Source organism: Homo sapiens, chromosome 6 (assembly GCF_000001405.40).
Source record: "Homo sapiens chromosome 6, GRCh38.p14 Primary Assembly".
Taxonomy (NCBI): Eukaryota; Metazoa; Chordata; class Mammalia; order Primates; family Hominidae; genus Homo; species Homo sapiens.
In genome coordinates this window covers 106,641,241-106,668,754 of record NC_000006.12, presented here as the reverse complement: position 1 = coordinate 106,668,754, position 27,514 = coordinate 106,641,241, and the positions used below count along the sequence as shown (strand labels likewise).

General features: G+C 38.8%; 1 protein-coding gene and 1 pseudogene across 2 annotated transcripts in view; both read right to left on the bottom strand.

The window, feature by feature from the left end:
* Positions 1 to 337: 337 nt before the first annotated feature.
* QRSL1 (glutaminyl-tRNA amidotransferase subunit QRSL1) overlaps positions 338 to 27,514 on the bottom strand; it is a 38,840-nt gene continuing 11,663 nt past the window's right edge. For both annotated transcript variants that reach the window (XM_011535924.3, NM_018292.5), the window contains 8 exons: positions 25,665 to 25,761; positions 19,554 to 19,730; positions 16,371 to 16,546; positions 16,173 to 16,288; positions 13,833 to 14,025; positions 13,023 to 13,140; positions 5,570 to 5,775; positions 338 to 2,973 (listed from right to left, as the gene is read on the bottom strand). In XM_011535924.3, coding sequence (XP_011534226.1) covers positions 2,753 to 2,973; positions 5,570 to 5,775; positions 13,023 to 13,140; positions 13,833 to 14,025; positions 16,173 to 16,288; positions 16,371 to 16,546; positions 19,554 to 19,730; positions 25,665 to 25,761 — 1,304 coding nt within the window. In that variant the 3' untranslated portion in view covers positions 338 to 2,752. The remainder of the gene's footprint in view (positions 2,974 to 5,569; positions 5,776 to 13,022; positions 13,141 to 13,832; positions 14,026 to 16,172; positions 16,289 to 16,370; positions 16,547 to 19,553; positions 19,731 to 25,664; positions 25,762 to 27,514) is intronic.
* On the bottom strand, positions 25,796 to 26,335 carry RPL21P65 (ribosomal protein L21 pseudogene 65; annotated as a pseudogene).

Below are 27,514 nucleotides of genomic sequence, written 5' to 3'. Positions count from 1 at the left end.
TCCTCTTCTATACCATGCCATCTTTAATTTTAAACAGCCCAGTCTGATGTCATCACAGAGGACCCGGTGTCAGCCACTCAAAGGGAACATTCTGCCTCCTGGGTTTCAGGTGCTTTTTTTGGTAACGCTAAGTGTGGGCCAGCGTGGAACAGTGGTTTTCCCGCTTGCTCCTTTGGCTCTCTGTGGTGGCAGAGCACCATGTTTTATGATCACATCATTTTTTCACTCTGACACGTGTTCAAACTTTTGCTTTGGTTTGGGTCTTTCAGGTGTTATCAAGGAACTCATCTTACACGTGTAGACATCTTCACCTTTCAAAAACACTCTGTTCTGGAAGTTCTGTTGCTAATAATTTTAGAGTTTAATTAGCTGAGACAAAGAAAGTATTTGCCACTTAAATTCCCAGACAGTGACTTGGCAAAATGAGACCTACTAGATTAAGAGTAAAAATGAAGAGAAAAGAAAAACAAATTAGGTATCATTTCATGGTAGTTGGGTATCAGTATATGAGAACGGTAAATGTTTCACTTTTTAATTTCCAGATTCAAATTATTAGTGCAGCTCATGTAGAGATACAGGAACAAGAGATTTAATATTATTTGAAATAATATTGAATACTGAATAATATCATTGAATATATAATATTGAATATTATTATTTCGGCCAGGTGTGGTGGCTCACGTCTTTAATCTCAGCACTTTGGGAGGCTGAGGGAGGCAGATCACTTGAGCCCAGGAGTTTGAGACTAGCCTGGGCAACACAGGGAGAGCCCATCTCTCTCTCTCTCTCTTTTTTTTTAAATTCATTACATAAAAACAGATTGGGGCAACGGTTTGTTTATTTACTTGCTTTTGACATCATATTTGCTCCTTCAACTAAAATGGTTTCCTCCATCTAGGATGTTGTGGTGTCTGAGCAATTAAAAAACTTAAAACGGTTTCCTCTTGCTATAAAGTAATGCAATTTTCTCTCATGGATTTCTTCCTCTTTCAGGGATTCAGAGTCAAAATCTATAGGAATATTACTAAGCCTGGCACATAAGACTTTTATGTGAAGTTAATCAGGTTGAGTATTTGGGAGCGGGAGGATCTCAGAGAGGACAGAAAACTGTTTATGAAAACTAACAGGTGACGATGAAACATTCCAGTGGTTCTGCAGATGATTCTGACTCATTATTTTCTCTTCATGAACGTCATATTTAGAAAACAATTTTTTTTTACTAAACAAAGTGAATTTATTAAGTAACAATTCAGCTTTCATTTATCAACAATATGTAAGTGCTAGATTAAAATACCTGATCAATATGAGATGACAATGGTGTTCTAGTGAAGACACAGAAATCCAGTGATGAAGCCTTATCATGAGTAAATGGATGGTTTCCATTAGATTTTGTCAAATATTGAATACAGATATCCATTAATATCTCTGGGCTCGAGGGTCCCAAATAAAAAACACTCGTAAAGACAGTCAAGAGGAAAAGGAAACCATGAGATATAGAGAATCTGGGGTAAGGCAAGTTCTTGCCATGCGCATCCCCTCTTCTGCTTCATCAGCAAATTATCTGCATGTTTTTCAGAGTGTATGTTACTTGTGTATTTTGAACCTTTTTCACTAATACCATGCTCTGCTATCTACCAAGTTTCCAATCTGTGATGGTCTGTTAGGTTACAATAAATGTTTCGATGACATTAATGAGCTCATTTGTGATCAGTAAATAGGAGCATGAACTCAGTGTAACATGGAGTTGTTCTGGCTTCTAGGCATGGGCTCCGGAATAGCAGAAGTAAAATTGTAACTCTAAGGAGGAAAGGAAAGTTCTCAGTCATTTCAGCTCTTTCTTAGGGAAATAAAAGGAGTCCCTGCAAGTGGAGCTCCTCCCCAGAGAGGCATACCCCTGAGATTTGCATGATTCTGGGCCCTGACTGGTTGCATTTCCTCCTGTGCTCAAAGTTCCTCTTCCACCTGCTCTGCTCAGCGCTCAGAAGCCAATAATCGCACTCAATTGTTTCTGTGCATTTTTAACAACCCCTGAGGCGGCCTTCACCACATGATAAGTTGCCTGCCTAGGCTATCCAAGTTACCTCTAGAAGGACTATTCATGTTTTTGTTAGTGCTTTAGTTACACAGATGTACAATTTTTGAGAAGTTTATCCCTAATCTTATTTTTACTGTAAACTCTTTAATGAACATTATGGCAGAATGCATTGTCTTTGAGGAACAGGTATCTTGTGTTATTGTAGAAGTATTGTACACTTAGTGGATGCTTACTAAATGCTGACACGTTATTTATTATTAATTGTCACAGGAATTTTAAAAAGTAATTCCATGGAATGACTGTATTAACAAGAACCTAATTACAAGAATTGAGCAAGACCATTTGACTCTCTAGAATATAGAATCTCTGTACGTCATTTTATTTTATTTTATTTATTTATTTTGAGACACAGTCTTGCTTTGTCACCCAGGCTGGAGTGCAGTGCAGTGGCATGATCTCGGCTCACTGCAACCTCCACCTCCAGGGTTCAAGTGATTCTCCTGCCTCAGCCTCCTGAGTAGCTGGGACTACAGATGCCCGCCACTAAGCCTGGCTAATTTTTGTATTTTTAGTAGAGACGGGGTTTCACCATGTTGACCAGGCTGTTCTAGATCTTCTGACCTCATGATCCGCTCGCCTTGGCCTCCCAAAGTGCTGGGATTACAGGTGTGAGCCACTGCACCCAGCCTAAAAGTCATTTTAATTTGTAAGATATGTTTACTGTTTTAGAGAGACAGAGGCTAACTTTTCATTTTCAAGGACTGCTGAACAATCATCCATGAGTTCTTGAAGTTGAATAACAGGAAACTGTACTTGTTTTTCAAACCATTTGGCTACTGTAAGAAGCTGCTGGTCACAAAACGCACGTCCAATAAACTGCAGTCCTATTGGCAACCCTTGGTTTGAGAGTGCAACAGGGATACTCACTGCTGGCAATCCTGGGAAAAGAAGGAAACCCAGTAGGTGATTAATTCTCCACCCTAATTAGCAGAGACCTCTTCCACTTTCCAGTGCTAATAAGTACAATACAGGATAAGGTTTAAAAAACAACCAAAAATATTATGCTATATAATGCTTTTGTACTATGTTTTGTTTACTTAACAATATATCTTGGAAATCATTCTGTATCAGTTCACAGAAACCTTCTTCATTCATTTCTTATTGCTGTATAGTACTCCATTACTTGGTTTTACCATAATTGAGTAAACCAGTCTTCTGTGGTTGGGTATTTAGATTGTTTTCAATATTTAGCTATTTTATACAATGCCCCAGAGAATTACTTTGTGTATGTATTTTTTTGGTATTCTTGAAATCTTCTTAGATGAGGAGGAGATTGCTTCATCAAACGACAAATGCATATGTAATTAGATATTGCAAAATTCCCCTGCAAAGAAGTTGTACCATTTTGAACTTCCACCTATAGCCTTGCAGACAGAGTGTGTTGTTCAGTTTTTGAATTTTTGGCAATCCATTAGATGAGAAATTAGCTCAGGGTAGTTTTAATTCCAGGTTTGGGCAGAGAAAGTACAAAATCCCAGACCATCTTGTTATACAATAAAACAAGTTTTCAAAAATTAAAATGGGGACAGTTTTAAAGGATACATATAACTTGAAGGGGCTCTTATTGGCCAAATTTAAGGCAATTTGACCATCAAAAACAATACTGACAGTAATTGCTTATAATACATTGAATTAAAGAAAAAAAGGAAGGCTCTTCTTTAGAGAATACTGCTAGCTAATAAATGTAGAAGGAATGACAGATTTAGTAAAGCCAGAATTTTGTAATTCTCTAGCTAATATTTCAAGGATGATCAATGAATGCTAAAACTGGGTTCAAGATAATTGGAAAATAGGATATTCACATGGTCTCAAAATATTACTCCAGAAATTGCTTAAAAAAATGATAAAAGGAAAAATGTACCTTTTTATAAGGAAACATCTAGCAGTTACTTCCTTAGCGAAGTGATCAACTTGGTTTCCAAAAGTGAGACAAACTGATATTAACTGTTTCCTGACATGAAGATTATGTAGTACTTCTACCAAAAATGTTTAACTCAACCCAATCATGAGGAAGCAATCTGACAAATCCTGATTATGGATGGGACATCTTACAGCACAAGTGGACTGGGCTCTTAACATTTTTTAAGTGCTAAAGATAAGAACTGTTGAACCAGAGTTCTACATCCAGCAAAAATAACCTTTAAAAATCAAAGGGAAATCAACACATTCTCAAAAGGAAAGCTATGATAATTTTTCATCAGCAGACCTACCCTAAAAGAAAGGCTAAAGAAATTTCTCTAAACAGAAGTGACAAAATAAAGAATCTTGGTACTTCAGGAAGGAAGAATGAACACAGTAAGCAAAAGTATAGGTAAATGTAATAGACTTTCCTTTTCCTCTTAAGTTTTCTACATTATGTTTGATGATTGAAACAAAAATTATAGCATAGCCTGATGTGGTTTTAAAGAAAAAAGAGAGGTGGGGTGATTGTTCTAGATTTTAAAAAGATACCATAAACCAATGTAATATATCAGGAGGAAAGACAACTTATAAAAGACACTTTTGGTAGAACTGAGAAAATTTGAATATAAACCATATTTAAATTATTCTTCAATCATGTTAGTTTTCTTAGGTATGACAATGGAATTGTGGTTCTGTAGGAAAATTTATCCTTATAAGATTTGTACAAAAGAATTTAGGGGTGAAGTGTCATGACATCTGAAACTTTCAAATGATTCAGGTAAAAACAAAGTTGTTTGTGTGGTGAGTGTGGGTGTGTAGAAAGAGGAAGAGAAGGGCAAAGCAAATATAATGTTAACAAGATTACATCCAGGTGAAGGGCATATCAGCATTCATTATACCACTTTTTCAGCTTTTCTGTGGGTTTAAAATTTTTCAAAATAAAAGTTAAAAAAAACTACTAAGTGTGTTGTGTTTGTGTGTGTGTGGTGAGAGTGCATGCAAGTGTACGGATATGGTTTGGATCTGTCTCCCCACACAAATCTCATGTTGAATTGTAATCCCCAATGTTGAAGGTGGGGCCTAGTGGAAGGCAACTGGATCATGGGGACGGTTTCTCATAAACGGTTTAACACCATTCCCCTTGGTGCTGTTCTCGTGATAGTGAGTGAGTTATCACAAGACCTGGTTGTTTTAAAAGTGTGTAGCACCTTCCCCCTTTCTCTCTTGCTTGGGCTGGGCCATGTAAGACATGGCTACTTCTCCTTCACCTTCCACTGTGAATTTAAGTTTCCTGAGGCATTCGCAGAAGTGGAAGCTGCTCAGCTTCCTGTACAGCCCGCAGAACTGTGAGCCAATTAAACCTCTTTTTTAAATTAAATTATCCAGTCTCAGGTATTTCTTTATAGCAGTGTGAGAACAGACTAATACATGTACACACACACTCACTCCTAAGCATTCCAAAAGGATAGACTTTTGCTTTTCGGAAACCATCTAGCTAGAATCTTAAGTTGAAGACCAGGGTACCTGCCTAAGAATTTGAAGAAAATCAGAATGTTCCTGAGGAATCCTCACCTGCCATATTTACAGCTTGTGTAAAAATATCATCCTGGGCACTTCGGGTTCTGTTGTCCTCTTTGATGAACTCCAAGTATGGTACTGCCTCACTCAAGGTGGTGGGAGTTAGCAAGACATCTACTCCAGAGTTAAAAGCATTTACAAAGTCATTAGCAATGAGGCGTCTCACTTTCTGTGCTTTGACAAAATAATTTTCATAGTTTCTGTGGGAAAAAAGTAGGTGATGTTTTTAAGGATTTTTTGTATTTTTCTTTTAATCAATTATCTTACATTAGGCTTGATAAAGAACCATTGGATTTCCATTTTCTGGCTGAATAAAAAGTTTGGCTTGCCTGTGTAATGCCCATTCCCTTCCCCCTGGCTCCCCAGTGGTGGGGCGTATATGAGAGAGGAGTGTTTTTCTATCATAGACGCCATAGGGGAAAGTTTGGGGATGAAGCAGAGCTTAAAGGCATTTCAATTAAGTTAGAAAACTGAAACAGACTGTTGAGAAATCTTTGCCACTTTTCCCACCCCAAAACAGCCTGGGGCCTGACATCTTCTGCCCTGGGCCCCTTTCTCTTGATGTGGAAAGTCTGAATGCAGTATTTATAGACTTCTAAGGTTTTAAAATCCTGCATCAGGAAGAAAACCAGAAATACTGGTTGGTTAAATAAAGAGTTTAGGCATTGTTTAGGGAAAAAAAAAAAAAAAGAACCACTGGATTCTTGGCTTTTATGAGGAGGCACCATTAAGATTCTTAACATAAAAATGAATTCTCTTCCACTGTGTTGCCACTCTAAAAGTTTGTATATATAAATTAATCAATCCGAATTCAGAATTCACTAGTAGATGCAATTCTACACTTATAATCTCAAAATATTAATAACTCCAGGGCCATCATTAAACCAGAATATTCATTGGTGAGGAAAGTAAAGTACACAGCAACAAATGGCTTTCTAAAGGTTACTAAGATAGACAGCGGTAGACTATGCAGTATTTGAATTTTGTATTTTACGGATAGGTATAGCCCAGGGGTAGAAATGTGAAATTCAAGAATGCTTATTTTACTAAAAAGACTAAAGAAAAAGCCAGACATAGGAGTAACCATAAATCAATGATACAAAGAAAAGGAAAAAAAATCCTTTAGATTCTTCTGAAGCTGTTAGGAGAGGCTAGCAAGAACTGTTCTAGGCCGGGCGCAGTGGCTCACGCCTGTAATCCCAGCACTTTGGGAGGCCGAGGTGGGTGGATCACCTGCGGCTGAGAGTTTAAGACCAGCCTGACCAACATGGAGAAACCCCATCTCTACTAAAAATACCAAATTAGCCGGGCGTGGTGGCTCATGCCTGTAATCCCAGCTACTCAGGAGGCTGAGGCAGGAGCATTGCTTGAACCTGGGAGGCGGAGGTTGTAGTGAGCTGGGATCGCTCCATTGCACTCCAGCGTGGAGAGCTGGAAACAAGAGCGGAACTCCGTCTCAAAAAAAAAAAAAAAAAAAAAAAAAAAAAAAAAAAGAACTAACCATTCTTTTCCACAACAGTTTCCACAACAGTAAAAATGGATATACCTGCTCCAGTTTTACTGAGGGCCAAATAAAATACGATAAAAACGTGAAATATGTTTTACTCTAAAAGAGTGGTACAGAAATATCATAGGTCCTTACTCTTATTTGACCACCAGGTCTACAGAGAGACCAATGCAGGCATCACATATAATTTACACACTGACAACACCTAAGTGGTTTAAACACCATATTCCAAAACCTGAATTTTATAAAGAACAAATACTGGCTGGGCCTGGTGGCTCATGTTGTAATCTCAGCACTTTGGGAGGCCGAGGCGTCGGATCACAAGGTCAGGAGTTCGAGACCAGCTTGACCAACATGGTGAAATCCTGACTCTACTAAAAATACAAAAAAATTTAGCCGGGCATGGTGGTGGGCGCCTGTAGTCCCAGCTACTGGGGAGGCTGAGGCAGGAGGAGAATCTCTTGAACCCAGGAGGTGGAGGATGCAGTGAGCCAAGATCGCGCCACTGCACTCCAGCCTGGCGACAGAGCAAGACTCCGTCTCAAAAAAAAACAAAACAAAACAAAACAAATACTTGTTTTCTATTAAATTTCTTCCTACTTTAAATATGGCTCAGAAGAAGAACTGCTTCCATCCAAGATAGAGTAATGGAGATGGGATTTACCCTGTGCTATGGTTTGAATGCTTGTCCCCTCCAAAACTCATGCTGAAATTTAACTGCCACTGAAACAGTATTAAGAGATGGGGCCTTTAAGAGGTGATTGGGCCATAACAACTCCACTCTTGAGTGGGATTGGTGCCATTCTAAGAGGGAAAGTTCAGCCCCCCATGTGCTTTCCCTTTCTCTCCCTCTTTTTCTCCCCACCCTTGCTTTCTGCCATGTGTGGACATAGCAAGAAGGCCCTCACCAGGTGCTGGCTTCTCAATGTTGGACCTCCCACCCAGCCTCCAGAACTGTGAGCCAGTAAATCTCCGTTCATTATAAATCACCCAGTCTCAGGCATTCTGTTATAGCAGCAAAAATGAACTAAGACTGCTTCTCAGAATAGGGGATTAAAAAAAAAAAAAGAACTAAGACACTCTGCCTTCTTAAACAACTAGAAAACTGGACAAAATATATGAAATGACCATTTTCAGGCATTAGGCAACAGACATTCAGGAGAAAAAGTTGTGAGAGAAGAGAAACAAATGAAGTAAGCCAGGCCAGGTGTGGTCCCTCATGCCTGTGGGGTGGCTGGGGGTAGGATTCCTTGAGCCCAGGAGCTTGAGACCAGCCTGGGCAACACAGGGAGATCCTGTCTCTACAAAAAAAACTACAGTAGTCCTAGCTTCACGGGGGGGGTGGGGAGTGTTGAGGGTTGCTGAGAAGAGCTTGAGCCTGGGAGGTCGAGGCTGCCAGTGAGCCATGGTCATGCCAATGCACTCCGGCTTGGGTGACCAAGTGAGGCCCTGTCTCCAAAAAAAGAAAAGAAAAGAAAATGAGATATGCCCTTTGATTTCCCCAGCTTAATGCCTAGGGGCAGTTTTCAGGCCTCATTCCAGAGAGGAAGCTAAACAGTATGTGGGGTGGGGGGTAAGTTAAAGGGACAGAGATCTGAAGTTCAAGGAGGCAAAGGCAGCTAGAATTTGCAAAGCAGGGTGCTGAATAGAAGGGAGTGGCACAAAGAGAGAGCTCAACAGATCTGCAGGGAGATTCCTTGAGTCTCTGGCTGAGTACTGATCTATGAGTGCATGAGAAGAAATTCCCAAGGCTGGGGAAACAATCCCCAAAGAGCAGTGGACTGAACAATTCCTAGAGCTCAAACAGGGACGGAAATAAGTTTGTGTTTCGAACAGCCAAAGCGAAAGACTCAAATATATGCAGCATCAAAGCATCACCTCAAAGTAAAGTAAAATTAGCCCTGGAATAAAGGCTGCTTTGGATTTATCTTAACAAAGCTTTAAAAGAAGCCTTGAAAAGAGCCAACAAATTCCAAGCACCTTTATTGCATCCTGGGAAAAAGCCCAACACTGTTTAAAGGAATATAACAAAAGTCTAGCAAATGACAATGTAAAATTCACAATATACAGACATGAAAAGCAGCAAAAAATATGACCCATAACCAGAGAGGGAAAAAGCATTAATACACACAGATGCAAAAATGATGGAATACTGAGTAGATAAGAACATTAAAACAGTTACTATAAATATGTTTTTTTTTTTTTTTGGAGACAGAGTCTCACTCCGTCACCCAGGCTGGGGTGCAGTGGCACAATCTTGGGTTACTGCAACCTCTGCCTCCCAGGTTCAAGTGATTCTTGTACCTTGGCCTCCCGAGTAGCTGGAATTACAGGCATACGCCTTCCCACCCAGCTAATTTTTGTATTTTTAGTAGAGACAGGGTCTTGTCATGTTGGCCAGGCTGGTCTCGAACTCCTGACCTCAAGTTATCCACCCGCCTTGGCCTCCCAAAGTGCTGGGATTACAGGTGTGAGCCACCGCACGCAGCCTAAATATGTTCTATATGTTCAAGAAGGTAGAAGAAAATATAAAATAATGAAGAAATTGAAGGGATAAGAAGACCTACATGGAACTTCTAGAGAAAAAAATATAATGTATAAAAAATGTACTGGAAAGAATCAACATAACAGAAAAAAAGATCAGTGATTCTGAAAACAGTAATGGAAACTAGCCAAAAGGAAGCAGAGAAGGAAAAAAGACTGGGGGAAAAAAAAAGAATGTAGTGTCTGTGAGCTGTGGGACAACATCAGGCAGATTAATATACATGTGAAGAGAGTCCCAGACAGATGGAGGACAGAAAAAATATTTGAGGAAATAATAGCCAAAATGTTCCAAATTTGATTAAAACTATAACCCAACAGATCAAAGCTGCTTAACAAACCCCTATGCAGAAGAAGAAATATGCAGAGAACCACACCAAGGCACATCACAGTCAAATTCCTGAAAACCAATGATAAAAAGAAAATCTTAAAATCAGAGGAAAAAAAGATACATCATATACAGAGGAATGACCATAAGAATGACAACAGACTTCTCAGAAACTATGTAAGCCAGAAGACAATGGACAAAACCTTTAAAGTACAGAAAGAAGAAGCAACCTATACTTTTTTTTTTTAAAGAGATGGGCTCTCGCTCTGTCGCTCAGGCTTAAGTGCAGCGGTGCGATTATAGCTCAGTGCAGGCTCTCACTCCTGGGCTCAAGCAATCCTCCCACCTCAGCCTCCTGAGTAGCTGTAACTACAGGAGTGTACCCTGTGCCCAGCTTAACCTACATTTTTAAACCCAGAGAAAATATCTTTCAAAATTAAAAGCAAAATAAAGAGTTCTACATATAAACCAAAGCTGAAAGAATTCACTGCCAACAGGACTACAAGAAATATTAAAGAAAGTTCTTCAAGTAAAAACAAAATTATACCAGATGGAAATTTATATCTCTAGAGCAGAGAGAAAAGCACCAGAAATACTAAATATGTAGGTAAATATAAATGACACTATTTTTCTCATTTTAGATCTTTTTAAGAGAAAAATTACTATTTAAAGAAAAAAAAGCAGAAGAAAAGGTTAAAAGAAAAAAGAACAGATGGGACAAACAGAAGATAAATAGCAAAAGGTAGATATAAATGTGTTACATAAGTAAATATTTATGTCAATTAAAAATAAACTCTTCCTGGCTGGGCATGGTGGCTCACGCCTGTAATCCCAGCACTTTGGGAGGCTGAGGTGGGCGGATCACGAGGTCAGGAGTTTGAGACCAGCCTGGCCAATATGGTGAAACCCCATCTCTACTAAAAATACAAAAATTAGCTGTGTGTGGTGGCGTGTGCCTGTAGTCCCAGCTACTCAGGATGCTGAGGCAGAAGAATTGCTTGAACCCAGGAGGCAGGGTTGCAGTGAGCTGAGATCGTGCCATTGCACTCCAGCCTGGGTGACAGAGTGAGACTCTGTCTCAAAAATAAATAAATAAACTCTTCCTGGCACATAAGTTGACTTTTTAAAATAAAAAAAGTATTCCGAATCCCATTTTTCCTATCACTTTTGTCTACCCAAGTTGACCCAACTTGGCACTGACTCAGGAGCTAGGGATACCAGCAGTAATTTTAACTTCCTTTTATCAGAACCCCCAAATGGTGATCATGAGGAATGCTTTCTGACTTCTCTCCTTCAATTTCTTTTTATGCTGTTACATTGACCTATATAATTCATCAACTTGTGCCCTGAGATAAACAATATGGTTCTAATCAGTAATATTTGGCAAAAGTAATATCTTTAGCTTAATAAATGTTTTCACTTAGAAAATTATTTCCTTTTGTTTTCCTACTCCAAAGTCATTACAAGCATCTGGTCAATATGGTAACAGTCTTTTAATCTGGAACATAACCAAATAGTATTCTTTTTTTTTTTTTGAGATGGAGTTTCACTCTGTTGCCCAGGCTAGAGTGCAGTGGCACGATCTTGGCTCACTGCAACCTCTGCCTCCCGGGTTCAAGTGATTCTCCTGCCTCAGTCTCTCGAGTTGCTGGGATTGCAGGTGCCCACCACCACGCCCAGCTAATTTTTGTATTTTTAGTAGAGACAGGCTTTCATCATGTTGGCCAGCTGGTCTCGAACTCCTAACCTCAGGTGATCTGCCCACCTCGGCCTTCCAAAGTGCTAGGATTACAGGCATGAGCCACTGGGCCCGGCCTCAAATAGTATTCTTAGAAAAAGTAATCCTGTGGCCTGGCATGGTGGCTCATGCCTGTAACACCTGCACTTTGGAGGTTGAGATGGGTGGATTGCTCGAACCCAGGAGTTGGAGATCAGCCTGGGCAACATGGCAGGATCCCGTCTCTACAGAAAATACAAAAATTAGCTGGGCATGGTGGTGCAAGCTTGTAGTTCCAGCTACTAGGGAGGCTGAGGTGGGAGGATCACTTAAGCTCAAGAGGTCAAGGCTGCGGTGAGCTGCGATCACTTCACTGCACTACAGCCTGGGTGACAGAGTGAGACCCTGTCTCAAAAATAAAAAGTAATTCTAACTATCGGCCCTGAGAGGATACGCAGATGAATAAAATGCCTTCTGCCCTTGAGGGCATGGAGAAAAACTCCAAGAAGCTCTTCATTACAATAACCAATCTTGCTTTTTCACACTTCTCATGTCCTCTTAGACACACTTGGTGGTATAGAAGATGAAGCCTGTTCACAAGATCGTGAATAAACTCATAATGAAGACAATTGAAGGAGGAGTCATAGTCATTCTGAATTCTTTTTTAGAGTAAAGACATACATAATACAAGGAAAAACTAAGTTGATTCAATACATTTTTCAAGAGACAATACAACTCTCTGCTTAAGGCTCTAACAGCAATAAACCAATGTGGTAATACCCAAAGGACATTTAATGAGATTAAAATCCTTAATGGCTTCCTACTTACATTCATTCCTTGGTGTCCGTTGGGGGTTTGGTACCAAGACCCCTGTGGATACCAAAATCTGAGGATATTCAAGTCTCATATAAAATGGTGTAGTATTTGCATAAAACCTATGCACACCTCCTGCACGTTTAAAATTATCCCTAGATTACTTGTAACATCTAATACAATGTAAATGCGAGGTAAATAGTTGTTACACTGTATTGCTTTTTAATTTGTATTACTTTTTATTGTTGGGTGTTATTTTTTATTTTTTGAATATTTTTGATTTGTGTTTGGTTGAATCCAAGGTTGCAAAACCCACAGATATGGAGGACTGCCTGTAATCTGTACCAATCATTTAGCTAAAGTACCAACATTTCTTTTGTTTTTGAATACCAGGACCCAAAAGTGCCATAAACAGGTCTTTTCTAATTCAAATCATAAAGATTTTGTTTCTTTACTAAATACCTTGACTTATAAGACCTGATAAGAGACATGTTACTTGAGGTTTCAAGAATGAAGAAAATTCCTAAATGAGTTGTCTTACTCTTTTAATAAGAAAAAGTTTCCTGAGAGAATTCTTCCTCTCACCACATCATTAAACCCTTCTCGTCTGGTTGCAGCATACATGGCTTCAGTGGACACATCAATGTCACATCTGTGACCTGAAAACAAGAAAAGGGTAAACATTACTTGAAAGGAAGTAAAGTCAGTAAAGTTTTGGCTAAAATCAGGCCTAGATTCACTTTTTTTTTTTTTTTTTTTGAGATGGAGTCTCACTCTGTCACCTAGGCTGGAGTGCAGTGGTGTAATCTCGGCTCACTGCAAGTTCTGCCTCCCTTGTCAAGTGATTCTCCTGCCTCGGCCTCCTGAGTAGCTTAGATTACAGGTATGCGCCACCATGCCTGGCTTATTTAGATTCACATTTTTGTCACCAATACTAAAGTTTAGGGAGTTGCCCTTAATGGTTTCTTTTCCCCATCTGCCTTTTGACTGATGGACTGGTCATGGAGAGAGAAGAAAAGAAAAGAACCAAGAAAGAAACTCCAATTGTTCACTCCCTCATTCATTCATTCAAACATTTATTGAGCTCTACATTAGCGGGACTGAGCATATGACAACAAGATACTATCCCTTCGAGTTATTCACAGTCCTGAGAAGCAAACCAAACATACACAAATATTTATGACAAATAGTGTAAGTACAAGTCTAAAATGACAAAGGTAAAATGATTCACTGATGAACTTTTCTGAATCACTAACATTATCTCAAGCATTAACTTTTTTGTCACTAATAAGTGAACTTTTCAAATGTTTGCGACAACTACCTTAAAAATAAAATAACCCAGCCATCTTACCATATTGTAGCCCATCAAATCTTGCCATATTCGATGCCACTTCTGATGTGCACAATACATGGTAGCAGACAATTGAATAACTGGTGTGAGGAAGGGATACTTCAATTACTTTGGCCCCCTCAGACTCAAAGAGGTCAGCAGCTTTGGACCAAAGAGACTGTACTTCACTTGATAATTCCGGTACAAGATATTCCTTATAGCAAAAAGTCAAGATACAAAATTGGAACTGTATAGATTATTTTATAAAAATTTGTACTTCATCTGTATAGATGATTTTATAAAAATCTGTACTTCAGGACCTTTGGTAATACATTAGAAAATAGGATAAAATTGCTGGTAGGTAGCTAGAAAGACTAAATCCATTTCAGAGTGTTTATGGTATGACAAAGCACAGTACTAGATATTATGATCTGGATATAACAACATTAAAGATTGGAGATCTGGTTGGGGAAAATATTTGTTAAATGCTCATTATGTATCAGGAACCTAACAGCATATCAGCATATATCAGCATATATGTTAAATGCTCATGTATCAGGTACCCTGTTAGATGATTTTCTTTTTTTTTTTTTTGAGACGGAGTCTCACTCTGTCGCCCAGGCTGGAGTGCAGTGGCGCAATCTCAGCTCACTGCAGGCTCCGCCTCCTGGGTTCACGCCATTCTCCTGCCTTAGCCTTCCGAGTAGCTGGGACTACAGGCACCCACAGCCACGCCCGGCTAATTTTTTGTATTTTTTTTAGTAGAGACGGGGTTTCACTGTGTTAGGATGGTCTCGATCTCCTGACCTCGTGATCTGCCCGCCTCGGCCTCCCAAAGTGCTGGGATTACAGGCGTGAGCCACCGTGCCCAGCCTGTTAGATGATTTTCAAAGATTCTCTCTCATCTCATGCTTTTAACAAGCCTGTGATGTAGGTATTATAATCCTTCATTTTGTTAATGAAAAATCTTGACATAAGAAGTTATTTTCCTAATGTTAAATAGCAGGTAAGTAGAGGGTCTAGGATTTCAAACTGGGTCTGTTTTAAAGCCTATGCTCTCTATAAATAAATGCTTAAAAAGAATGCACAGATATTGCCTTCTTTTTTTTTTTTTTTTTTTGAGATAGGGTCTTGCTCTGTCACCTAGGGTGGAGTGCAGTGGTGCAATCATGGCTCACGGCAGTCTCAACCTCCTGGACTCAAGCAATCCTCCCCCCTCAGCCTCCCAAACAGCTAGGACCACAGGTGCACACCACCACACCCCACAATTTTTTTAAAACTTTTTGTAGACATAGGGCTCTGTATGTTGCCCAGGCTGGTCTCAAACTCCTGATCTCAAGCGATCCTCCTGCCTTGGCTTCCCAAGGTGCTGGGATTACAGGTGTACGCACCTGGCCTTACATATATTACCTTAATGGAAGATTTTAAATAAGGTAGTATTTCTCTATAGCAGTGGTCTTACCTGGGGGTTACTTTTGTCTCCTTTTCCCTAACCAGGAGACACTTGACAATGTCTGCAGACATTTTTGGTTGTGGGATTGTGGTTTTGGTGGTGGGGTACTACTTGCATGTAGGGGTAGAGGCCAGGGATGCTACTAAACATCTTACAATGCACAGGACAGTCTCCCACAACAAACAATTACCAGCCCCAAACACCAACAGTGCTGAGGTTGTGAAACTTCATTATTCTGCAGGGTAACTTATCTTCCTAAAAGATTTAAAGTATTAATATATTGCAATGCTTAATATTTTTAAAAGGTTAGTAATTTAACATTATAACATTCATGTATTCATTACTCAATTGCTACTGTAATAGATGCAGTAGTAATAATAATAACAGTAAAGATGTTAACATTTTTTGAGGCATTACTATGCAAGTTGTGGCTTTGGGCTAAAGTCCTTTCTTTACATTAGGGATGGGCAAACTATGGCCCATAGGCCAGATGTGACAAGCCAGCTGGTTTTTGAAAATAAAGTTTTATTGGAACAGAGACACACTTTTTCATTTACATATTGTCTGTGGCTGCTTTCTCACTATAATGGCAGTTAAGCAGTTATGATAAAGACTGCATGGTCCACAAAATCTAAAATATTTGCTATCTTGCCCATTACAGAAACAATTTACAGACTTAACATGACTGTCTAATTGATCCTCACAAACCTCTCTGAAGTCAGTATTTTTATTATTCCTATTTTACAGATGGGGAAATTGAGCTAAAAGAGATTAAGTCACATACTCAACTCACATGATTAATAAAAGTGGCAGAGCAGAGATTCAAACCCACCCAATCCGCCTCCCAAGTCTGTGCTCTCTATTGGACTTGACAGTATTTCTGTAAAGTAATGAAAGGAAAAAGTTACCTTTGGAATTCCTATACATAGTTTGCTCACATCTGCCAAACTGGGAAGCATGAATGGTTTATTAATAGGTTCATGTACTGTGGTAGAGTCCCTGGGGTCAGGTCCGGCCAGTGCACCTGTAAGGAGCAATACTTATGAATGACAGATATATTGTTTTATAGAGAAGCTGTTGCAAATGATATAGAATTATATAAATACCCAACACAATTGCTGCATCATCCACACATCTGGTTAAGATTCCTGGCACATCCATCGAATTCACCAGGGGAATGAGACCATGACGGGAAACTAAGCCATAGCTTGGTTTGAAACCAACAAGCCCACAGTGGGCAGCAGGATTTCTGGTCGATCCTCCTGTATCTGATCCTAAAGCCCTGGAATTTAAATGGAATTATCTTTAGAAGAATGATATATCTCTAATTATATTTGGAATCTACCCTTTCAATTGTATATTTTTAAACTGTATTTTCCTCTGATTACACAAAAGTAACACATGTTCATCTCAGAGAATTCATAAAGTACAGAAAACTTTAGGTACTCAATATTCCAATACCCAGAGGAAAACACTGTTAACATTTTGGCATATTAAGTTCAAGTCTTTTTAAAAATGCATTTTTTTCACCGTTGAGATAATTCTGTAATCATGAGTTTCCATCCCTTTTTTAACATTAGCTTTTTACTATGTCATTAAAATTCCTGAAAATGTAAAGTATATGTAATATTCCATCATATAAATTCGTGATTCCTGGTATTTTAAAGTCCATTCTCCTTTCAATATACATATAAATCTTGCACTTTCTTCTGATGTTGATATTGAAAACAAATCAAATTAATGGCAATTTTGCAGTATGCTTTTACAGACTAAATACGCCCCTCCTAGAAATTCAGATACAGCCCTTTGCTACCCACCCCATTTAGAATCATGGATTGAGATGTTTAATAATTTAAACTCTTACGTTGTTTCTAACTAGAATAACTATTTAATAAATAACTTTGTTATGAAAATCTCTGAACATAAATTTTTGCTTATGTGTGAGTACTTTTTAGGCTAGCTTCCAAGAAGTAGACTTAGTGCACATAAGTTTCTGATATATGCTGTCAAATTACTTGTCAGAAAGATTATGCCAATTTATATCCCTAGTTGCAGTGAGTCAGATTGTGTTTTAAAGTTTCAGTACCGTCACTGAGTACTAGTAATTTTTAAAATTGTTAGTGTGATAACCAAAAAGTTTTTATTAATGTGCATTTTAAATAATTTTGCACACTTATTTATACATGCATTACTCAACTACAAAGTGACTGTTCATTTCTTTACCCAGTTACCTACAGAGTTTGTGTTGTTCTTATTTTAAAAAAACAAAAAACGGACCTGGAGGACATTATGCTAAATGAAATAAGCCAGTCACAGAAAGACAAATACTACATGACACCACGTACATGAGATAACTAGAGTAATCAAATTCATAAGACACAAAGTAGAAGGTGGTTACCAGGGCTGGGAGAGGGTTGAAGGGTACACAGTTTTAGCGTTGCAAGATGAAAAGTGTTCTGAAGACTGATTGCATGTTTTTAATACTTTTGAACTGTACTTTTAAAAATGGTTAGGCTGGTACATTTTATGTTATGTGCATTTTACCACAATTAAAAAACCATTTCAGGAAAACAGAAGTTGTGCTGTAGAACAGTACATATCTACTATAAAAATTAAAATATTATATAACTATATGATGTATAAAGTAAGATTACTCTTAGAATCACAGCCCCCACAATAACCGTTACCAGTTCTGACATGCATTCATCCAGACATGCAGTACTTCCATGCAATGACTGACATATATACCTATGCAATTGTTACTTTTAACAGAAATGGGTTCTGCAACTTATTTTTCACTTAACAATTTATCTTGGTTATTTTTCCATGTCATTGCATAGTGCTCTAACTTATTCTTTTTAGTGGCTGCACAGTACTCCAGGAATCTTCCTATTTTAAAAGCTATTGTAAAAGAAACAAATCAAAAAGGGGTAAACAAATCAAAAAGGGGTAAACAAATCAAAAATAAGGAAACAAAAGCAGAACACTTTACAGTTTGAGATACATTCAATCTGAAGTTATTTTTGGTCTGTACTTCTGTTGCTTATATTTAAAGTGAAGCTTTGGACTGAACAATGCTCCTAACAATAACATGGCACTTGTGCCCTACAGAAAATGCAAATTAGATTTCCTTTCTTACAGTGTCAAGTTAAGCTACAAAATCAGACTGTTGCTTTCACAATTTTAAAAGATACATTTTCTTATTAGCATTCACTGACGGCTATGTAAAAGTAAAACTTACATTTCCATAGGAATTATGTGTCAAAATGCCATCTACTAAAAAGCACATTCAGAAAGATGAACACTAAGTGGGATGATGAGGACAGAAAAAAAGCACCTAATCCTGCAGTCCTAACTTGTCAGAACTCACATTAATATTAATGCAATGCTATAAAATTTCACAGAGATAAAATGAAATGGTTTTACTTGTTAATAAGATTTTAGGAAAACTGAAAAAAAATCTGTAGAACTCACATCTCCATAGCTCTAAAAAAATATAAATGATTTATGGATTGCAATGTGTGTGAAAGAACTTAGTTTTAATGGATAATTAAGGGGAGATAAAATACAAAACTATTACTAAAGAAACACATTCATTTTGATTAAATTGAGACTGATAAACACAGCAACAGCCATATTTACTTTCTTTTCTTTGGGTAGTTAAGAAATGCTTTACAAATGGAACTGAAAATATGATCAATGGATTCTTACCAAATACAAAGTATGATAGATAAACAGAATCAGCACCTAACAAGCTTGAAAAAACTTTACTTACTGATGTACATTTTTAATTGCAGATTCCTGAAAACACTATTTAAAATATCTTATTAATACATATTAGCATTTTTTCTTTTTTTTCAAAAGATTGATCTTGCTGAAGGATAAACATTACCAACAGTTTAGTTCAGCAGCACTCAACTAAAGCCATTGTATGTTAGTCCCTAAATATTTGTATAATCAGTGAGCACACACTCAAATTATTTAAAAATGAAATGCAATGAAGTTCATTTATGTTCGATGCTTTATTCTGCAAGATCCACAAAATCATATTTTAAGAGAACCAGATACTATGGAGAAAAATTTGTTATTTTAAAGTTAAAAGTATTAAATATACATAGTGTACTGTACAGTTGAGTGCAACTCAAGATATAATTTTGATATACCTTTGAGCACATATAGCTCACTAGAAAGAAAAATACCAGGATATGAACTACTCTATTGCTGGATACAGTTTATGACTGTTTGTATTTGGGTGGGTTTTAAAATACAGATAGAGAAAAGCATCTTACGCGTAGCATGTGAACGCCGATACAGCAGCTGCACTCCCACCTGAGCTTCCTCCAGTTATCAGCCAGTCTGAATCTTCATTCTCGCTGTGGGGATTCTGCTTCCTCTTTTCTCTATATTGTTTTGAATAACTCCAGGGGTTTTTAACTGGTCCAAATACACCATCTGTGCTCCCAGATCTGATGACGAAGTGAAGCAAGATACCTTAGTAAAACTTTCATTTTATGTGAAAATTTCATCTTCTGAGTATATTATTTGCTTCTGACACTCATTGAGCATTTAAGAACCCACTGTAGCTTGAATTGAAAAAGGTGGGAAGCCTGTTCAGATGTAGCTTTCATTAATTGACAGTTGCGGAGGATGGGAAGGAAGAGCATTTGTGGTAGAAAATAGACAAAGCTAATCTGCTAAGAAAAGATTTTGCCTCTTTTGATCATCCAATTCAACTGAAGATGATTTCCCTTGTGAATCAAGGTCTTCCAGCTGAAAAGGGTTACATTCAAACAGTTAAGAACTTCTGAACCAGAAGTTCTATGAAAAACATTACAAGTGGAATGCTAATAACTTAAATTTTTGAAATGATTTTATTCTCAGATAAATTGCAAAAATAAAAATAACATATAAAGCACTTTATACCCTTTACCCAGACATACCTACGGTCAACATTTTATCCCTTTGCTTTACTACTTGTGTGCTCTGTGTACGTTTGTACATATGTACATATATACACAAAGTATGATAGAAACTTAAGGGTATCTTAAGGGTAACTTACATGTATATCATAGCCCTTTATCCCTAAATACTTTAGTGTGTATTTCCTAACAATAAGGATATCACATTATACAGTCACAGTATAGTTATCAATCTCAGTAACATTAATATCAATACAATAATTTTTTTTTTCTTTTTTGAGACGAGTCTCGCTCTACTGGCAGTCTGGAGTGCAGTGGCGCGATCTCGGCTCACTGCAACCTCCGCCTCCCAGATTCAAGCAATTCTCCTGCCTCAGCCTCCCGAGTAGCTGGGACTACAGGTGCGTGCCATCACGCCGGGCTAATTTTTGTATTTTCAGTAGAGACGGGGTTTCACCACGTTGGCCAGGATGGTCTCAATCTCTTGACCTCGTAATCCACCCGCCTTGGCCTCCCAAAGTGCTGGGATTACAGGGGTGAGCCACCACGCCCGGCCTACAATACTTTTATCGAATCTACTGTATGTAATTCAATTCTGTCAACTGATTCAATAATGTACTTTGGCTGGGTGCAGTGGCTCACGCCTGTAATCCCAGCACTTTGGGAGGCCGAGGAGGGCGGAACACGAGGTCAGGAGATCGAGACCATCCTGGATAACACGGTGAAACCCCATCTCTACTAAAAATACAAAAAATTAGCCGGGCGTGGTGGCGGGCGCCTGTAGTCCCAGCTACTCGGGAGGCTGAGGCAGAAGAATGGTGTGAACCCGGGAGGCGGAGCTTGCAGTGAGCCGAGATCGCGCCACTGCACTCTAGCCTGGGTGACAGAGCGAGACTCCATCTCAAAAAAAAAAAAAAAAAAAGTACTTTATGGCATTTTATCTCCTTCCTGGATCAAATCTAGAGTCAGGTCTTCCATTTAATTATCATTGTCTCTCTCTTTTTTTTTTTTTTTTGAGACAGTCTCGCTCTATTGCCCAGGCTGGAGTGCAGTGGCATGATCTTGGCTCACTGCAAGCTCCGCCTCCCGGTTTCAAGTGATCCAGGTTCAAGCGATTCTCATGCCTCTCGAGTAGCTGGGACTACAGGCATCCACTACCATGCCTTGGCCTCCCAAAGTGCTGAGATTACAGGTGTGGGCCACTGTGCCCAAGCTCACTGTGATTTTAATTTTGAATTCCACTAATGATCAACGATATTAAGCATTGTTTCATGTGTTTGTCAACTATGTTTTAATCTCTGATGAAACGTCTTCTTAAATCTTTTGTTCATTTTTTAAAAATAGGGTTGCTTGTTTTCTTATTGAGGTGTGAAATGTTCTATGTATTTTGGATATCGGTTCTTTCTGAGATACATGTTTTGCAAATATTTTTCTCTCAGTCTGTGGCTTGCGTTTTCACTTTTTTAGTAGCATATTTCAAAGTACAGAAGTTCTTAATTTTAATGAAGTCTATTAATTTTTTTTTTTTTTTTTTTTTTTTTTTTGAGAAGGAGTCTTGCTCTGTCACCCAGGCTGGAGTGCAGTGGCGTGATTTCGGCTCACTGCAACCTCTGCCTCCCGGGTTCATGCCATTCTCCTGCCTCAGCCTCCTGAGTAGCGGGGACTACAGGCGCTCGCCACCACGCCCGGCTAATTTTTTGTATTTTTAGTAGAGACAGGGTTTCACTGTGTTAGCCAGGATGGTCTCAATCTCCTGACCTTGTGATCCACCTGCCTCGGCCTCCCAAAGTGCTGGGATTACAGGTGTGAGCCACCGTGCCCGGCCAAGTCTATCAATTTTTTAAGTGGATTTGTGCTTCATGTGTCCTATCTAAAAGAACTCTGACTAATTCAAGGTCACTAATACTTTTCCCTGTTTTTTTTAATTTTTTTTTTCTGTAGAGACAGGGCCTCACTATGTTGCCCAGGCTGATCTAGGACTCCTGGGCTCAAGCAATCCTACTGCCTCAGTTTCCCACAGTGCTGAGATAACAGGCATGAGCCACCAGGCCCAGCATCCCCTACATTTTCTTGAGTTTTATGATGTTAGGTTTTACTTTCTTTATCTCTTATCCTGGAAGATTTTCACAGCCCTTTTTTTGTTTTCATATGATATTTTAATAGAATGGTTCTCATTTTGGATTTATCTTTTGTTTCCCCATTATTAGAGTCAGCTTACACATTCTCAGCTGGAATATTACATAGGTGATATTGTATCCTCAGACAATTACATCTGGAGGCACATAACGTCCACTTCACCCTCACTGGTGATGTTAATTTTGATCAGCTGATGAAGGCAATTTCCTGAAAGCCTTTGTTCAAATATACTCTCATGGATTAGTTCATTCAACATATATATAATGAATTCCAAGATATACCACTCTGAACTATACACGCAAGGACTCTTGTTTCTATGAAACAGAGAACAATGACCAAGCAAATATTACAAATGTGACAAGTGTCATAAAAGGGTAAGTATAAAGTACTTTTGGTGAAAGACTGCTGTTCCCTAAGATCAAGATCAAGGCAAGGAAATCTGCTCTCACCACTTCTATTCAACATTGCACCTAAGGCCCTCACTGGTGCAGTAAGGCAAGAAGAAGAAATAAGACTAACTCTATTTGTAGACTACACAATTTGCTACATAAAATATTCCACAGAATCCACAAAGATCAACTAGAACTAATAAGCAAGCTTTAACAAGGTCATGGGATAAAAGGTCAATATAGAAAAATCAATTATGTTTCAATGTACTAGCAATAAACAATTAGAAACTGAAAAAAATACAATTTTCTATAGCATTAAGAAACATGGCTGGGGGCGGTGGCTCACGCCTATAATCCCAACACTTTGGGAGGACGAGGCGGGCGGATCACAAGGTCAGGAGTTTGAGACCAGCCTGGCCAATATGGTGAAACACTGTCTCTACTAAAAATACAAAAATTAGCCGGGCGTGGTGGCATGTGCCTGTAGTCCCAGCTACTCAGGAGGCTGAGGCAGGAGAATCTCTTGAACCCAGGAGGCAGAGGTTGCAGTGAGCCGAGATTGCACCATTGCACTCCAGTCTGGGTGACAGAGTGAGATTCTGTCTCAAAAAAAAAAAGAAAAGAAACATAAAACACACGAATAAATCAAATTATATGTACAATTTATATGCAGGAAATCATAAAAACATTCCAGAGTAAAACAAAATGTATGAGAAGACATGTATTATGATGCCGATTCTTTCCAAGTTGATCTATAAATTCAACACAATCACAATCAAAATCCCATTAAACTTGTTTGTAGAAATTAGCAAGCTTATTCTAAAACATATCAGAATATAACAGATCTAGATTATGTAAAATGATTTTGAAAAAGAAGAACAAAGTTAGAAGACTCTTACTACATAATTTCAAGGCTTACTATAAAGCTATAATAATCAAGATGGTGTGACACTGGAATAAACAGAGATGCAACAGAGTCCAGAAACAGACCTACTGAATGTGCTTGATTCTTGACAAAAAAACCTAAGATCATTCAACAAGAAAAGGATAATCTTTTTTATTATTAGTGCTGGAGTTAATGGACATCCATATGTTGAATAAATGGACTTTATTCATACTATATACGAAAATCTAATTCGAAGTGAATAACAGATCTAAATGTAAGAGCTAAGACTATAAAACTTCTAGGAAAAAATTCTTTGTGACCTTTGTTAGGTAAAGATTTCTTGGCCAGGCACGATGGCTCACGTCTATGATCCCAGCACTTTGGGAGACCAGGCGGGCAGATCACCTGAGGTCAGGAGTTTGAGACCAGCCTGGCCAACGCGGTGAAACCCCATCTCTACTAAAAATACAAAATTAGCTGGGCCCGGTGGTGCGTGCCTGTAATCCCAACTACTCGGGAGGCTGAGGCAGGAGAATCGCTTGAACCTGGGAGGCGGAGGTTGTAGTGAGCCGAGATCGTGCCATTGCACTCCAAGCACTCCAGCCTGAGCAACAAGAGCACAACTGTGCTTCAAAAAACAAAAAACAAACAAACAAACAAAAAAGATTTCTTAGGACACATGAATCATAAAAGAAAAAAATTCAGCCAGGTGAGGTGATGTGTGCTTGCAGTCCCAGCTGCTCGGAAGGATGAGGTCAGAGGATCACTTGATGCCAGGAGTTCAAGACCAGCCTGGGTAACACAGATAAACCCCATCTTTAAAAAATAAAGGAAAAAATGGGCCTGGCACAGTTGCTTTTGCCTCCCAACACTTTGCTGGACCAAGCTGGGAGCACAGTTTGAGTCCAGGAGTTTGAGATCAGCCTGGGAAACCCAGTGAGACCCTGTCTATATGAAAGGAAGAAAACAAAAGGAAAGAAAGAAAAGAAGGCCGGGCGTGGTGGCACATGCCTGTAATCCCAGCACTTTGAGAGGCCAAGGCAGGTGGATCATCTGAGGTCAGGAGTTCAAGAGCACCCTGGCCAACATGGCGACACCCAATCTCTACTAAAAATACAAAACTTAGCTGGGAATGGTGGGGCATGCCTGTAGTCCCAGCTACTTGGGAGGCTGAGTCAGGAGAATCGCTTGAAGCTGGGAGGCGGAGGCTGCAGCGAGCCGAGATCGCACCATTGCATTCCAGCGTGGATGACAAGAGCAAAACTCTGTCTCAAAAAAAAAAAAGAATGAAAAGAAGAGAAAAAAGAAAAAAATTGATAAACTGGACTTTATCAAAATTAAGAACTTTTACTCTTTGAAAGGCATGTTCAGAGAATAAAAAGATAAACCAGAGACTTGAAGAAAATATTTGCAAATCAGCACCTATCTGATAATGGATTTGAATCCAAAATATATGAAAGAATTCTTTTTTTTTTTTTTTGAGACAGAGTTGCACTCTTGTAGCCCAGGCTGGAGTGCAATGGCGCGATCTCGGCTCACTGCAACCTCCGCCTCCCGGGTTCAAGCGATTCTCCCGCCTCAGCCTCCCAAGTAGCTGGGATTACAGGCATGCGCCACCACACCCAGGCAATTTTTGTGTTTTTAGTAGAGACGGGGTTTCTCCATGTTGGTCAGGTTGGCCTCGAACTCCCTACCTCAGTTGATCCACCTGCCTCGGACTCCCAAAGTGCTGCGATTACAGTCATGAGCCAGAAAGGATTCTTACAACTCAATAATAAGATGACCCAATTTCAAAAAATGGGCACAGAATTTGAAAAGCTACTTCACTGATGAAGACATAGGGATGGCAAAATAAACACATGAAAAGATGTTTAACATTATTAGTCATCAGGGAAATACAAGCCAAAAGCAAAATTAGAGATGACTATATATCTATTAAACAACATAACATAATCTCACAGAGGGACTAAGAAACTGGCATTAGATCCTCAATCCTTTTAGGTAACTACATTTAGTGAAAATAAAGGCACAGACAGAAGAAACTCAAGAGAAGATTTCAATTTTACTTACCCCATAGCAAACTCATCTAAATTTGTTTTTCCCATTAGTAGAGCTCCCTGATCCAACAACTTCTGAACTACTGTAGCATTATAAGGTGGTATATAACCTGAAAAAAATTTAGTTACTATTATTTTTTTTACAGTCCAGAAGTCTTTTATTTGTTTATACCTATTATGCCATGAATTCACAGGGAATAGGCTCCAACAGCTCAGGAGCCTTCCCATTGGTTCTCACACAGTGCGCTTCTCTGGGTGGAGCAGGCTGGCACGTCAGTTGAACCCAGGTACCTTTCTCTTTGGCTTCCTTCTTTTCCTCATCATTTTCCTCAATGCGTTTCAGGAAGCTATCTCGGCTCTTACAGTACTTACTGTGCTCAATATGCACATTCATTCTCTTGGCAAGAATCTTGCCCTTGTTTGTTTACAACAATGCCAACAGCATGCTGGGGAACACTGTGTACTCTCCAGTTTTGCCATGGTAACACTTGTGGGGCATTCCTTTTTGAACAATACCCATTCCCTTGATGTCCACATCACCTTTCTTATAGGTTCACATGTACATGGCAAACAACTCCCTGTTTTGTAAAAGGCCTAGAAAACACATATTGGGTGCCTCTCCTCTTTCCCTTTGTGTTCATCATTTTGGTGAATTACTGGATGATGGTGGTTCCCGCCAAAAGGCCAGTTACCTTTTTATAGGAAACAAAACAGCGAACATGTAAATCATATGTAAGAAACAAGAGTCGGCGGGGCGGGGTGGCTCACGCCTGTAATCCCAAAACTTTGGGAGGCCAAGACAGGCGGATCACCTGAGGTTAGGAGTTCGAGACCAGCCTGGCCAATGTGGAGAAACACTGTCTCTACTAAAAATATAAAATTTAGCTGGGTCTGGTGGTGCATGCCTGTAATTTCAGCTACTTAGGAGGTGAGACAGGAGAATCACTTGAACCCAGGAGGTGGAAGTTGCAGTGACCCGAGATCGCACCACTGCACTCCACTCTGGGTGACAGAGCAAGACTCCGTCTTAAACAAACAAACAAACAAACAAAAAACAAAAAATCAAGAGTCTAAACTGCAATTAAGCAATTCATAGTGATATGTATTAATTATTCCTAATTTAAATAATCAGTTGTACTTCCTTCCAGTAATTTTTTTCTACTGCTAATGTATGTTTTCCAAAGATAGTCTGTGCCTTCACTATTTTTATAATCTAAAAACACTGACTTTACCAGTTAGTTCTACAAAATATTGCATGATAGTCAGAGATGTACCCAGTATTTTTGAAATAGTAAATCTCTATTTTGCTCATTGTACTTGATTTTTTCTTCTCATGTTATACCACACAGTAATTTTTATGTATTTCCAGTAGAAATAGATCTTTATTTTCAACTAAAATTTTCTCTAGCTATTGAAAAGCTCTAGCGTATATTCCAAAATAATTAACAACAGTCTGCATATTAGAGGAAGGTGGGGCATATTCCTCATAGAATATTATTTTTAGCGTCTAGTACTCTGAATAACCTTTTTTCTATTTCTGTTTCTTCCTAGGATCCAAATATCTTGATAAACCTGCTTTCTTTTGACCAAACTCTAAAGAATAAATCTAAGCATTGCCATACTGTGCTACAAGAGATAGAGGAATCAGGAAATAAAAAATAACTGGTCAGTAGATGTTAATGAATCCTCACGTCATCCACAGAAGGGTATTGATGATAGCCAGTTCATACTTATTCCCATGTTATCAATGAGCTGAAGGTAGAGGTTATACAGTACGTTTATGGTAATCAGTTTTTTTATTTCGTTTTTTAGAGATGAGGTCTCACTATGTTGCCCAGGCTGGACTCAAACTCCTGAGCTCAA